This window comes from Homo sapiens, chromosome 17 (genome assembly GCF_000001405.40).
Source record: "Homo sapiens chromosome 17, GRCh38.p14 Primary Assembly".
Classification (NCBI taxonomy): Eukaryota; Metazoa; Chordata; class Mammalia; order Primates; family Hominidae; genus Homo; species Homo sapiens.
Genome location: NC_000017.11, coordinates 77095338 through 77108735, shown reverse-complemented (window position 1 = coordinate 77108735; position 13398 = coordinate 77095338). Strand labels below are relative to the sequence as shown.

The window sequence follows — 13398 nt, the reverse complement described above, 5'->3', positions numbered from 1 at the left end:
ACAGAGCCTGGCTCTGTCGGCCACACTGGAATGCAGTGGCATGATCTTGGCTCACTGCAACTTCCGCCTCCCAGGTTCAAGCGATCCTCCTGCCTCAGCCTCCTGAGTAGCCCAGACTACAGGCATGCACCACCATGACTGGCTAATATTTTTGTATTTTTAGTAGAGACAGGGTTTCGCCATGTTGCCCAAGCTGGTCTCAAACTCCTGACCTCAAGCCATCTGCCCGCCTCTGCTCCCAAAGTGCTGGGATTACAGGCGTGAGCCACCACACCTGGCCTATACATTCATATTCTATGCTGGGGTCCCATCCCTCTGGCCCTCTGTTTCAGTTACCTGTGGGAAGAACCCACACGAACCATAGGGCTGCCACCTCCCAACTGTCCAGAGGAGACACACTGGACCCAGGTCTGTAGCAAGGGCTTCCTGCCGGACAGAACTGGGTTATGACGACCACGTTTAATGCAGAAACTCGGGACTCTGGATGGGGAAAGTGGAGCTCAGATAGTGCCGAGATGAGTCATCACCATGGGCTTTATTGAGCACATTTATATGGCAGCACTGCACACTCGCCCAAACAGCTGGAGGAAAGCTGCTCAAATGGGGAGAATCTAAGTCCGTGTGTGTGTGCGTGCGCATGGTATGGGGGGGCATGGAACAGGGGGCTGAAAACTGACACAAACATTTATACTGGCTGGGAGCAGTGGCTCACACCTGTAATTTTAACACTTTGGGAGGCGGAGGTGAGAGGATCGCTGGAGCCCAGGAGTTTGAGACCAGCCTGGGCAACATAGTGAGACCCCGTCTCTGTTTTTAAATAAATAAATAAAAAGTCAATACCAAATTGTGTTCAGAGACTGTGGGCTAAAACCAGCCAGCATGGCTCCTTTCTCAAAGGGACTTTCAGGCATCTGTGATAGTGTCAGCAAGCTCCAAGTAAAGCTTGAAAACCAACTCAGCCGTCAGCGCGTGGGAAACCTTTAGAACGCCACTGTGGAGAAGCCTTTGCTGTTGTTGCAAGAAAGTCAAGGAGGGCACCTTTACGTCACCGGGAATCCCCCAAGCCCCTCGGTGTGTGAGGAGGTTGCGGTTTATTCTGCCATCCACCGTTGTGGGTGGGGATCTTCTGACCTGGTCTACGGACTCCTGTATCTCATTTCTCTTTCCTGTTTTCTTGGACTTTCTCAATCTCTCTCCCCCTCTCTCCTTTTCATCTATGTCTTCATTAACTAGCATAACATAGAATAGAAATATATAATAGATTTTTTGTTTACTGAAAATACTTTTGAATTTTTTTCCATTTTTCATTAGTTTGAAACTACACGAAGGAGACTCTTTCTTTTCGTTCCTACCCAGCGCTCAATAGCTGTGTGACCTTGGCAAGTGATCGTCCCTGAGCCTCCATCCCTGTCTTTAAAGTGGAGATAAGGATGCCAGTCTCAGAAACTGTTCTGAGGATTAAATACCCAGAGCCTGGTGCCTGGAGCCTGGACCCCGGAGCCCGGAGCCTGGCGTGGGCTAAGTGGTCCTGAAGTGGAAGTGAGTTTTTGTTTGTGGCTCTTTGTTCTTTCCCCTGTGGGTCCACGGTGGTTGGCTGAATAAATTAGATTCTCCCCTGCCCCAGACTCTCAAGTCATTAAAGCTCTTCATTGATCAGCTGCTTCTCTCCAGTACTTAAGTGATCCTTGATGGTATATTACACCCCATGGGGGATGTGTGAACTCTTTTAGGTGATATGCAAATTACTGCTTTTCTGCAAAATGCCACCCTGGTGGCCGGATACAAGCATTCATGGGGAGTCAGCAAGGTGAACAGCAAAGAAAAGCCCGGGGCTGGAGAAGGAGAACGCAGCCTATTTCTCTCCTGAGAACCAAATAATTTTTCTTTTTTATTTTTTTTGAGAAAGGGTCTCACTCTGTTGCCTAGGTTGGAGTGCAGTGGCGCCACCAGGGCTCACTGCAGCCTCAACTTCCTGGGCTTAAGTGATTTTTCTCACTTCAGCCTCCTGAGTAGCTGGGACCACAGGTGCGGGCCACCACACCCAGCTAATTTATTTATTTATTTATTTTTTGAGATGGAGTCTCGCTGTGTTGCCCAGGTAGAGATGGGCTTTCACTATGTTAGCCAGGCTGGTCTCGAACTCCTGACCTCAGGTGATCCACCCGCCTCAGCCTCCCATAATTTTTTTGTTGTTTTATCTTTTTGAGATAAAGTCTCACTCTGTTGCCCAGGCTGGAGTGCAGTGACACGATCTCGGCTCACTGCAACCTCCGCCTCCCGGGTTCAAGCGATTCTCCTGCCTCAGTCTCCCGAGTAGCTGGGACTTCAGGTGCGTGCCACCACGTCCAGCTAATTTTTGTATTTTTAGTAGAGACGGGGTTTCACCATATTGGCCAGGCTGGTCTCAAACTCCTGACCTTGTGATCCGCCCACCTTAGCCTCCCAAAGTGCTGGGATTACAGGTGTGAGCCACCACACCTGGCCTCCTATAATTTTGAAATTATTTGTAGAAGACAGTCTCACTATGCTGCTCAGGCTGGTCTCCAACTCCTGGGCTCAAGCCATCCGCCAACCTCGGCTTCCCCAAGTGCTGGGATTACAGGCGAGAGCCACCATGCCCTGCCAGAACCAAATAATTTCAATGTCCCCTGGCCACGGAGAAGGAAAGTACAGGGTGATTTCCTTGATTCGTGGCAAAATTAGGTAGACGAACTGATATCCAGACTGACTTTTCCTTTTTTTTTTTTTCCTCTGAACTCTACTTATCTGCTTAAAAACAGAATCTCTCAAAATAATTCAACTGTCACAAATCCCCTCCCTGGGGCTTTTTAGGGAGTTTTGCACTAGGGAAGATTGTCTCCTCTCACCAGTCCCTCACCAGGATAAGCAATCACCTAAACAGCTGTTGTCACAAGACTAACATAAATCCCACCTGTGCTCCTCTGGGCCCATTCATCCTTCCTAAGAGTCCCCTGCTTCATGAAGATGGTATACAAGCCCCAGATCCTAACCACTTAACCTTGAGTCACATTTTTCTGTGAACTCTGGTGTACATGAATGTTTAAAAGTCTTTTCTCCTGTGAATCTTTCTTTGGTCAGTTTAATTTGCAGGCCTCCAACCATGAACATGAGGGTAAAGTTTTTCCTCCCTGACACAGGAGTTCACATCTCTGCACTATATCCTTACCATCATTTAATCTTTCGGAGGTTAATCTGAATGTTCTCTAAAACATGGGGGAATGGGACTATATCATGGAAAGAGGGTGGTAAGCACAATTTATAATATTACAGACTTACTAGGTACCCAGTACTTTGCAAATGGGACCTCCTTGAACTCTTTTTACGTGGGGTGGGGGGGGGGGTGGTCAGCGAGGAGCATGTCACAGGCTAGAGTCACTTTCTTGTTCACGAACACTGACCACACACTTGAGCCCTGTCTGGGTATAGGGGTAAACAAGACAGTCACCATGGCCCTGGAGTGGACTTTCCAGTTGAAGGCGTGAAAGGAAAATATCTTGGGCCCCCAAAATCACTAAGGAAAAATCCAGCTGGAAACTGCTTAGGGCCAACCTGCCTCCCCTTCTATTCAAAGTCGCCCCCCTGCTCACTGAGACGGATGCATATCCGATCGCCTTCTTTGGAAAGGCTCATCAGAAACTCAAAAGAATGAAACCGCGTCTCACCAATCTGTGACCTGGAAGCTCCCTTCCTGAGTCTTCCTTCCTTTGCTTCAAGTTATCCTGGCTTTCCAGAGACCGAACCAATGTACTTCTTAACATATATTGATTGATGTCTCCTGTCTCCCTAAGATGTATAAAACCAAGCTGTGCCCTGACCACCTTGGGTATGTGTCCTCAGGACCTCTTGAGGCTGTGTCACAGGTACGTGTCCTCAACCTTGACACACACACACACAAAAAAAAACTTTCTTTTTTTTTTTTTTTTTGAAATGGAGTCTCACTCTGTTGCCCAGGCTAGAGTGCAGTGGCGCAATCTCGGCTCACTGCAACCTCCACCCCCTGGGTTCAAGCGATTCTCCTGCCTTAGCCTCCTGAGTAGCTGGGATTCCAGGTGCCTGCCACCAGGCCCAGCTAATTTTTGTATTTTTAGTAGAGATGGGGGTTTCACCATCTTGGCCAGGATGGTCTTGATCTCCTGACCTCGTGATCCACCCTCCTCGGCCTCCCAAAGTGCTAGGATTATAGGCGTGAGCCACCACACCAGGCCAAAAACATAAACTTTCTAAATTAACAGAGAACTGTCTCAGATTTTCTGGGTTCACAAAGGGAGACAAAAAAAAAAAAAAGTAAACACAAGGCCGGGCGCAGTGGCTCACGCCTGTAATCCCAGCACTTTGGGAGGCTGAGGCGGGTGGATCATGAGGTCAGGAGATTGAGACCATTCTGGCCAAATGGTGAAATCCCGTCTCTACTAAAAATACAAAAATTAGCTGGGCGTGGTGGCAGGCACCTGTAATCCCAGCTACTCAGGAGGCTGACTGAGGCAGGAGAATTGCTTGAACCCAGAAGGCGGAGGTTGCAGTGAGCCGAGATCGCACCACTGCACTCTAGCCTGGGTGACAGAGGAGACTCTGTCTCAAAAAAAAAAAAAAAAAAGTAAATACAAAAAAGAGTCCTTTGGATACGGTCTCTGCTTTGATGATCTTGGGACAAAGTGAAGATGGGGTTCCTACTTTACGGTGGGAAGAGAGGGAGGGCCTCCCTGGTGGTATTGAGCTGTGAGCTGACTCACAAGAGGGAGTGGGAAGGACAGGGGCAGGGCGTGCCAGGTGGCAGGGTCAGCGAGTGCACAGGCTCTGGAGCAGGTCATAAGCAGGTGGCACTGGGACCCCGCCCGGTGCCGCCTGGATCCACGGTCTTCCCGCTGTGCATTGTATCCTCATAACCCCATGGAGCCGGGCCTTCTGGCAGCTCAGTGTCAAATGAAAAACAAATCCAGGCGTAGGAGGAGAGACTATTGGAAAGGATGACTGCAAGGGCTGGGGACAGTAACTACTGCCATGGAGAAGCACTTTGGGAGGCCGAGACAAGAGGATCACTTGAGATCAGGAGTTCAAGACTGGCCTGGCCAACATGGCAAAATATCGTCTCTACTAAAATACACAAAATCAGCTGGGCATGGGGGCGCATGCCTGTAATCCCAGCTACTTGGGAGGCTGAGGCAGGAGAATCGCTTGAGCCCAGGAGGCAGAGGTTGCAGTGAGCTGAGATGACACCACTGCCCTCCAGCCTGGGGTGAGGTTCTGTCTCAAAAACAAAACAAAACAACAACAAAAAAAAAACAACAACAAAAAAGAAAAATCTGGCTGGGCATGGTAGCTCATGCCTGTAATCCCGGGACTTTGGGAGGCCGAGGCAGGTGGATCACCTGAGGTCAGGAGTTCTAGACCAGCTTGGCCAACATGGTGAAACCCCATTTCTACTAAAAATACAAAAATTAGCCAGGCATGGTCACATGTGCCTGTAATCCCAGCTACTCAGGAGGCTGAGGTGGGAGAATTGCTTGAACCTGGGAGGCAGAGGTTACAGTGAGCTGAGATCGTGCCACTGCACTCCAGACCGGACTACAGAGGAAGACTCCCTCTCAAAAAAAAAAGAAAGAAAAATCATTTCAGGCCAAGCAGTGCTCATGCCTGTATTTCAGTACTTTAGGAGGCCGAGGTGGAGGATCACTTGAAGCCAGGAGTTCGAGTCCAGTCTGGGCAATATAGTGAGACCTCGCTTCTACTAAAAAATAGTAAAACAATTAGCCAGGCATGGTGGCATGCACCTGTATAGTCCCAGCTACTTGGGAGGCTGAGTAGGGGGGATCCCTCGAGCCCAGGAGTTCGAGGTCACAGCAAGCCATGATCACACCACTGTACTCCAGCCTGAGCCACAAAGTAAGACTCTGTCTTTAAAATAAACAAAAAAGGCCAGACATGGTGGCTTATGCTTGTAATCCCAGCACTTTGGGAAGCCAAGGTGGGAGGATCACCTGAAGTCAGGAGCTTGAGACCAGCCTGGCCAACATGGTGAAACCCTGTGTCTACTAAAAATACAAAAATTAGCTCGGTGTGGTGGCATGTGCCTGTAATCCCAGCTACTCATGAGGCTGAGGTAGGAGAATCACTTGAACCTGGGAGGGGGAGGTTGCAGTGAGCCGAGATCACGCCACTGCACTCCAGGCTGGGCAATAGAGTGAGACTCCCTCTCAAAAAAAAGAAAAAAAGAAAAAAGAAGAGAAAGAAAACAAGGGAAGATACCCTTCACTTCCATATCCTTTCAGAATTTCTTTCTCTGTCCTTTTCAAAAGTGTATACAGCTTTCAAGTGGTTAAATGAGTCTCCTGCCAGTTTCCCCCAACTCAAGTCATGTTTCCCCAAGGACCTGAGCCACCCACGTGAACTGTAATCATCAAGGAAGATAACTGTTTTCCGGAGGGGATGATCCCAACTTCAGCTGTCACCTGATTCTAAATGGCAAAACCCACTTACACAGTGCATGGGCTGTATCCACTTAGCTGTATCAAAGCGGGAGATTTGTCTCTGCAGTTCTTTCAGTGGGCTGCCTGTGATGCTCAACGCGTTTTGGTTTAATGCTTATTCAATCATAAAATTGTTTTCTTTTGCTTTTACTTTTGTGGCGAGGCTTTCTGGGTTGGGGGATTTTGTTTTTAAATTATATTTCCCCAACAGATGACTGCAGTTTTGTTAAGCAAATAGCAAAGAGGTCTTTGGATGTTAATCATTGCCTCTTGATGTACCTATGTAAATAAGAGACCTCAGAGAACCCAGCTTGCATGACATAGAGACCCTGGTGAATAAACTACAAGAAATGGTGACCGCAACGGGACTGTTGGGAACGTTTTCCCTAACACAGGACGCTGGTTTAAAGGAATTACATCAACGTGTAAATGAGCACCACCAATAGTCAGGATGATGTGTTCTACAAAGTAAGTCCACGCCTAAGTCCCACCATCCCTGAGAAAGGACCGAGTGGTCCTCAGACCAGCAGTATCAGCATGGCCTGGGAGCTTGTGAGAACTGCCGAATCTCCAGCCCAGGCCAGACCCACAGAACCACCAGAAGCTGCATTTTGATGGGATCCCCAGGGGAGTCCTTTGCAAATTGTTTGGGAAGCACTCAACTAGACAACAAATTCACTTATATTCTTAGACCAAAAATGCAACAACGTGGGCCTTCTGAACCAAGACAGGGATTTAACCATGACAGTTATTATGTCTGGTCAAAAAAGAGGGGCCGGGAACAGTGGCTCATGCCTGTAATCCCAGCACTTTGGGAGGCTGAGGTGGGCGGGTCACCTGAGGTCAGGAGTTCGGGACCAGCCTGGCCAACATGGTGAAACGCCATCTCTACTAAAAATACAAAAATTAGCCTGGCGTGGTGTGCGCCTGTAATCCCAGCTTCTCAGGAGGCACAGGATAATTGCTTGAACCTGGGAGACTGGGGTTGCAGTGAGCCGAGATTGTGCCATTGCACTCCAGCCTGGGCAACAGAGCAACAGGGCGAGACTCTGTCTCAAAAAAAAAAAAGAGAGGGACTATATGCTTAACACTAAACCAGGCTTGGGACAGAGCCCTTTCTACCTGATATAATTAATAAATTCATAACTTGCTTCTGGGTAGAGACTGGCAAGATTGGGAAGGAGTTTTCTGGGAAACCAGTTACCCAACCAGCTGCCTGTCAGAACCATCAGCCTGTGACTCTAGATTTGGCCTAACAACAATAATCCAGCTCTTATATTTTCCTATAAAATATCCCTACCTAAATGTGAACTTATGAATTGGACTACTACAGCCTGACCCCTGCATACAATATTGTAACAAAACTTTAATCAATTGTATGAAAAGTCTTCTCTCACTCATCTAAGAAAAAAATTGGAATGGATAAATTAACTTGATTGACCTTACGTAAAGTTACGCTGAGAGGCCACCAGGAAGTGTGGGAAGAATTTAGCAGCAGGTTCAGAGAAAGCCCAGGCTGGGCGCGGTGGCTCACTCCTGTAATCCCAGCACTTTGGGAGGCCGAGGTGGGTGGATCGCTTGAGGTCAGGAGTTTGAGGCCAGCCTGACCAACATGGTGAAACCCTGTCTCTACTAAAAATACAAAAATTAGCCGGGCGTGGTGGTGGGCGCCTGTAGTCCCAGCTACTCTGGAGGCTGAGGCAGGAGATTTGCTTGAACCCAGGAGGCAGAGGTTTCAGTGAGCCGAGATCACAGCACTGCAATCCAGCCTGGGCAACAGAGTGAGACTCTGTCTCAAAAAAAAAAAAAAAAAAAAAAAAAAGAGAGAGAGAGAGAAAGAAAAGAAAAAAAAAAAAAGAAAAAGCCAGCCAAGGAAGGGGAAATTAACAGGGACAACAATACAGAATGCACACACTGCAGCGCAGGGCGGTAGGCACCTTTTGCGCATGCGCACTAACGTGAATGCCGCATGTACAGATGACCACAGTGCTCGGAGGGTGCAGAAGGGGAAGCAGAGGGTGAATAGGCAGAAGTCAGTCCACATCTACCAGGAAGAGGTCAGTCCACATCTACCAGGAAGAAAGTCAACAGGCGAGGACCCAGATGACTCAAAGAGAAGCAGCGCAGCACGCCCGCTCCTCGGAAACAAAACCAGCGAAGCTGAAGGAATGGAAAATGGCTCCCGCTGGGAGCGCCAGAGCAGGGAAGCTTAGCCTAGTGTTAGAAGCCTTTTAGTTCTATGAATTTTTTGAACTAATGCATGTATTACTTTGGGAAAAAAAATTTTTTTAAACAAAAAGACATGTTTTTGTTGTAATGCTGGGGCATGTTAAAAAAAAACAACAAAAAACGCATGAAGCCTTTATTTCATTTTGATCTCTTAATACCTCCTTTTGATCTTCCCCGTTAACTTTCGAAGGGGTGAAGTATCTTGGAACAAAGACAGTACATTAGTGAAGGAGACTCACGTACCTTAGGATTTTTTTTGTTTTTGTTTGAGAGAGTCTCACTCTGTCATCCAGGCTGGAATGCAGTGGGGTGATCTCAGCTCACTGCAACCTCCACCTCCCACGTTCAAGTGATTCTCCTGCCTCAGCCTCCAAGTAGCTGGCATTACAGGAGTGTGCCACCACACCCGGGTAATATTTGTATTTTTAGTAGAGACGAGGTTTCACCATGTTGGCCAGGCTTGCCTCGAACTCCTGACCTCAAAGTGATCCACCCGCCTTGGCCTCCCAAAGTGCTGGGATTACAGATGTGAGCCCGGCCATGCCTTTGGATTTTAGGGGCTTCAAGATGTGCCTTAGGATTTATGGGGGGCTTCGTCCATAACTCATCCTGATAGAAGATGACAACTGAGCAAAGTTTTCAAATAGGCTCATGTCAGAAATTTGACTTTCAGAAATCTACTCAATGGGGCCAGCCACGCATAGAAGGTAAAATGTGGCTTACGGAGCCTCGTGTGGGAGTCAACATTAAAACCCAAGTCTTGGTTTTGTTAAAAGGGATTTGTCATTCAAAGAGAGTGGAAGTCTTATTTTAATTCAATAAAATTATCTAAATGTTTTGCTGCTCGGGCTGTAGTTCTAACGTGGCATTGCATAACCACTGTTACATAACCCTCCACAGCTGACAGTCTGTGAACATGTGACCTTCCAGTGACTTACACGGGGCTCCTTTCATTACCATTGCAATAAAAAGAACTTGGTTTTGGCTGTAGCTGCATAATTGATCTGAAAAAAAAAATCACAACAAATAACTATTTCAAATACATTAATCACATGTAACCACATCAAACCCAAACAGGCTTCTATGAGAATGTAGTTTTTGTGGTCTTGTTGCTAGCAATTTAAATACTGATATAAATGAAACACACATATCTACTCTGTTGAAAAAGCAATAAGTCCAGGGCTCCCACTCTCAAGGAGCTAGTGTAGAAGTAGTGTTCAGGGAAGCTAAGGCACAGGGAAGGAAACAATTCCAAAACCACGGGGTGAGCTCCATGAATGAGGTGGGCACTAGGAGAGGACAGATCCAGGGCTGAGGTCCTTGTCACAGAGAAAGACAGTCTCCAGCTTCATCACTGCAGTGAAGGGCACGCGATCTTTATGTGAACAAAGTCTGTCCCAGAACACTTCCAAATACTGCAGGACATGTGGCTCAACATGAGCCAAAAAGACGGTGTCCCCATGCATAGACCTGGGATCCTCTCAATGGGCCAATGTGTAGGAACAGGAAATACTTTTTTTTTTTTTTGAGACAGTCTCACTGTCGCCCAGGCTGAAGTCCAGTGGCACGACGATGGCTTACTGCAACCTCTGCCTCCTGGGTTCTGGCATTTCTCGTACCTCAGCCTCCCGAGTAGCTGGGATTACAGGTATGCACCACCACGCCTGACTAATTTTTGTATTTTTAGTAGAGATGGGGTTTTGCCATGTTGGCCAGGCTGGTTTCGAACTCCTGACCTCAGGTGATCCACCTGCCTTGGCCTCCCAAAGTGCTGGGATTACAGACATGAGCCACTGCACCGGGCCTAGAACAGGAAATACTTCTAACGTAAACTACCATTAGAGGGAAAAATGGTTCCTAAAAGGCAAGAGTAGATAGAATATGTAAGCTACGGACACTATTCAGAGAAAAGGCAGAAGTCCCACACTTTCCTCCATGTGAGGCCCCATGAGATCTGGCCTCAGCCCCCCAGCCCTCTCATCAACTCCTTTTGCTTGTGTGCCAGGGCACTGGCTGCCTCCCCTGCTGGGGTGCTCTTCCTGGTCATCATGTGACTTACTCTCACTGAAGGATTTGGTTAAAGGCCACCCATCTAAAATTGCAAACCCCATCCCGTGCTCCTCCGTAGTGGGGCTGCTGTCTTTCTCTCCATAGCACTCATCTGTTATTCTGCATATTCTAATGACCTGTTTCCAGTCTCCCCTATCCTGGGATATAAGTTCTCTGAGAGGAGGGAGTATGTTTTGCCTCTGGCTGTATTTTAACATATCCAGCAATACTTGTTCAACTAAAACCATCAGAAAGCTGTTCACCGGGCTAATAAGCCAGAGAACGTACAGTACTCTGTTGAAGATTACACTTTCAGAATGGTCATTCTCCCCACTCCCCCGCCCCCACCCAGCAAGTCCACTTTCCCACCAGCTAACAATCAGCACTCTTTTTTTTAAATTTTTTTTCTTGAGATGGAGTCTTGCTCTGTCGCCAGGCTGGAGTGCAGTGGCACAATCCCGGCTCACTGCAACCTCTGCCTCCCAGGTTTAAGAGATTCTCCTGCCTCAGCCTCCCGAGTAGTTGGGATTACAGGCGTGCGCCACTACGCCCGGCTAATTTTTGTACTTTTAATAGAGACGGGGTTTCACCATGTTGGCCAGGATGGTCTTGATCTCTTGACCTTGTGATCCGCCCGCCTCGGCCTCCCAAAGTGCTGGGATTACAGGCGTGAGCCACCGTGCCCGGCCACAATCAGCACTCTTAACTGTGCTGGCTTTGTGCAAACTTTGTTTGGTCTTGATAAGTACCTGTCAATTTCAAGTTATAAGCAATGTTCATGCCAGAGACACTTCTAAACCCTTAATGCACACTGTCTGGGACTTCAAATACTGGTACGTGTTAACACTGGATTCCTTACAAAGAAAATCTTTCCCGATGTTCTCACCAGCTGGCACTGGGAGTACATTGGAACGGAGAAATGTATTAGAACACGCTCTTATCTCCACGTGCAGTGCCTGTGCTTGGTTCCTGACATGATAAACGCTTCCAAGGAAAGCACTTATCACGAACCAAGACACCTGGACTGATTCCACTGGGACAACCGGACAGATTCGTAACTAAGAGCCCAGCCCCGCAGATGAATCTTCTGCATAACTTTTTGGTGACAGAAAGTCTTGGCTAAATTACACAAATCAAAACAAAACAAAAAAACCCCAAAATCCAAACTCTGTACCAAGTTACAACAGACATAACTTTTTGGTCACAGAAAGTCTTGGCTAAATTACACAAATCAAAACAGAACAAAAAAGCCCCAAAACCCAAACTCTATACCAAGTTACATCAGAGAACACAGTCTGGTGTTGGATTACATCCTCTAGTGGACGAAGAGAGAAATTCAAAATCTTGACTTAACTGTTCTTTAATTTCTATACCTTTTCTGATACAGGGCTTGTGTCCCACGGTGACTTTTTTTTTTTGAGATGGAGTCTCACTGTCACCCAGGCTGGAGTGTAGTGGCGCTATCTCGGCTCACTGCAACCGCTGCCTCCCAGGTTCATGCGGTTCTCCTGCCTCAGCCTCCCGAGTAGCTGGGATTATAGGTACGCAACATAACGCCTGGCTAATTTTTGTATTTTTAGTAGAGACAGGGTTTCAGCATGTTGGCCAGGCTGGTCTCGAACTCTTGACCTCAGGTGATCCGCCTGCCTTGGCCCAAAGTGCTGGGATTACAGGTTTGAGCCACCACACCCAGCCTCATAGTGATTTTTAACCTTAAATACAACTTCTTAACCACATATTTAATTATCCATTGCTAATATTGAAAGCACCATCTGTAGCCAGGCGTGATGGCTCATGCCTGTGATTCCAACACTTTGGGAGGCTGAGGTGGGAGGATCACCTGAGCCCAGGAGTTCAAGACCAGTCTGGGCAAGACAGTGAGACCTCATCTCTATTTAAAAAAAAAAAAAAAAAAAAGACTGACTGCAAGGAGCTGGAACTGAATGACAGCAGGAGACAGCCAAGGCCAGGGAATGTTCCTGACAGCCACACAAAACCTTCCTAGGCCTCCACCCATGGAGTCTAGGCCTCCCTCCCATCACCCAGAAAGATGCCCAGCATGCCAGTCCTGTGTAGGAGGAGCGCGCCCATTACTGTGTAGGAGAATTAGTGAAGGCTGTTTATTTATTTCAGTAATTAGTTAATTTTTTTTTTTTGAGACAAAGTCTTGCTCTGTCTTCTAGGCTGGAGTGCAGTGGTGTGACCTTGGCTCACCGAAACCTCTGTCTCCTGGGTTCAACTGATTCTCATGCCTCAGCCTCCCGAGCAGCTGGGATTACAGGTGCCTGCCACGACACCTGGTTGAATTTTGTATTTTTAGTAGAGATGGGGTTTCACCATGTTGGTCAGGCTGCTTTCGAACTCCTGACCACCCGCCTCGGCCTCCTAAAGTGCTGGGATTACAGGCGCAAGCCACCATGCCCAGCCAATGAAGGCTCTTCATTGTCTTGGGGTCTAGTGACAGAGAAAAGGCAAGCAGGTTCATTGTTAAGGAGCCACTTTCAGGCAGTGTGTCTGCAGACACTTCATGCAGAGACAAGGTGGCACCCTGAAGGTGGAGGATTCCTGGGAAGGTTCAGCCTCAGCTTCTGTCACTGCCTTGGGACACTCATTCCCATCCTGTCCTGATTTCCCT

At 47.7% G+C, this 13398-nt stretch overlaps 1 protein-coding gene across 2 annotated transcripts in view, besides 3 other annotated features; it reads right to left on the bottom strand.

Moving 5' to 3' along the window:
• The window catches only part of SEC14L1 (SEC14 like lipid binding 1), a 128417-nt gene that overhangs the window by 108366 nt on the left and 6653 nt on the right, over positions 1 to 13398 (bottom strand). The gene's annotated exons all lie outside the window — the stretch shown is intronic.
• Positions 865 to 1194: an enhancer, noted in NCBI's record as "active region_12823". NCBI's record gives its function as "activates an Ori minimal core promoter by ATAC-STARR-seq in GM12878 lymphoblastoid cells {active_cell/tissue: GM12878}" and the evidence as "EXISTENCE:reporter gene assay evidence [ECO:0000049][PMID:35858748]".
• Positions 1308 to 1972: an enhancer, noted in NCBI's record as "NANOG hESC enhancer chr17:75102846-75103510 (GRCh37/hg19 assembly coordinates)". NCBI's record gives its function as "activates a minimal SCP1, AML or CMV promoter by ChIP-STARR-seq in naive H9 embryonic stem cells {active_cell/tissue: H9 hESC(naive)}" and the evidence as "EXISTENCE:reporter gene assay evidence [ECO:0000049][PMID:30033119]".
• Positions 2035 to 2084: an enhancer, noted in NCBI's record as "active region_12822". NCBI's record gives its function as "activates an Ori minimal core promoter by ATAC-STARR-seq in GM12878 lymphoblastoid cells {active_cell/tissue: GM12878}" and the evidence as "EXISTENCE:reporter gene assay evidence [ECO:0000049][PMID:35858748]".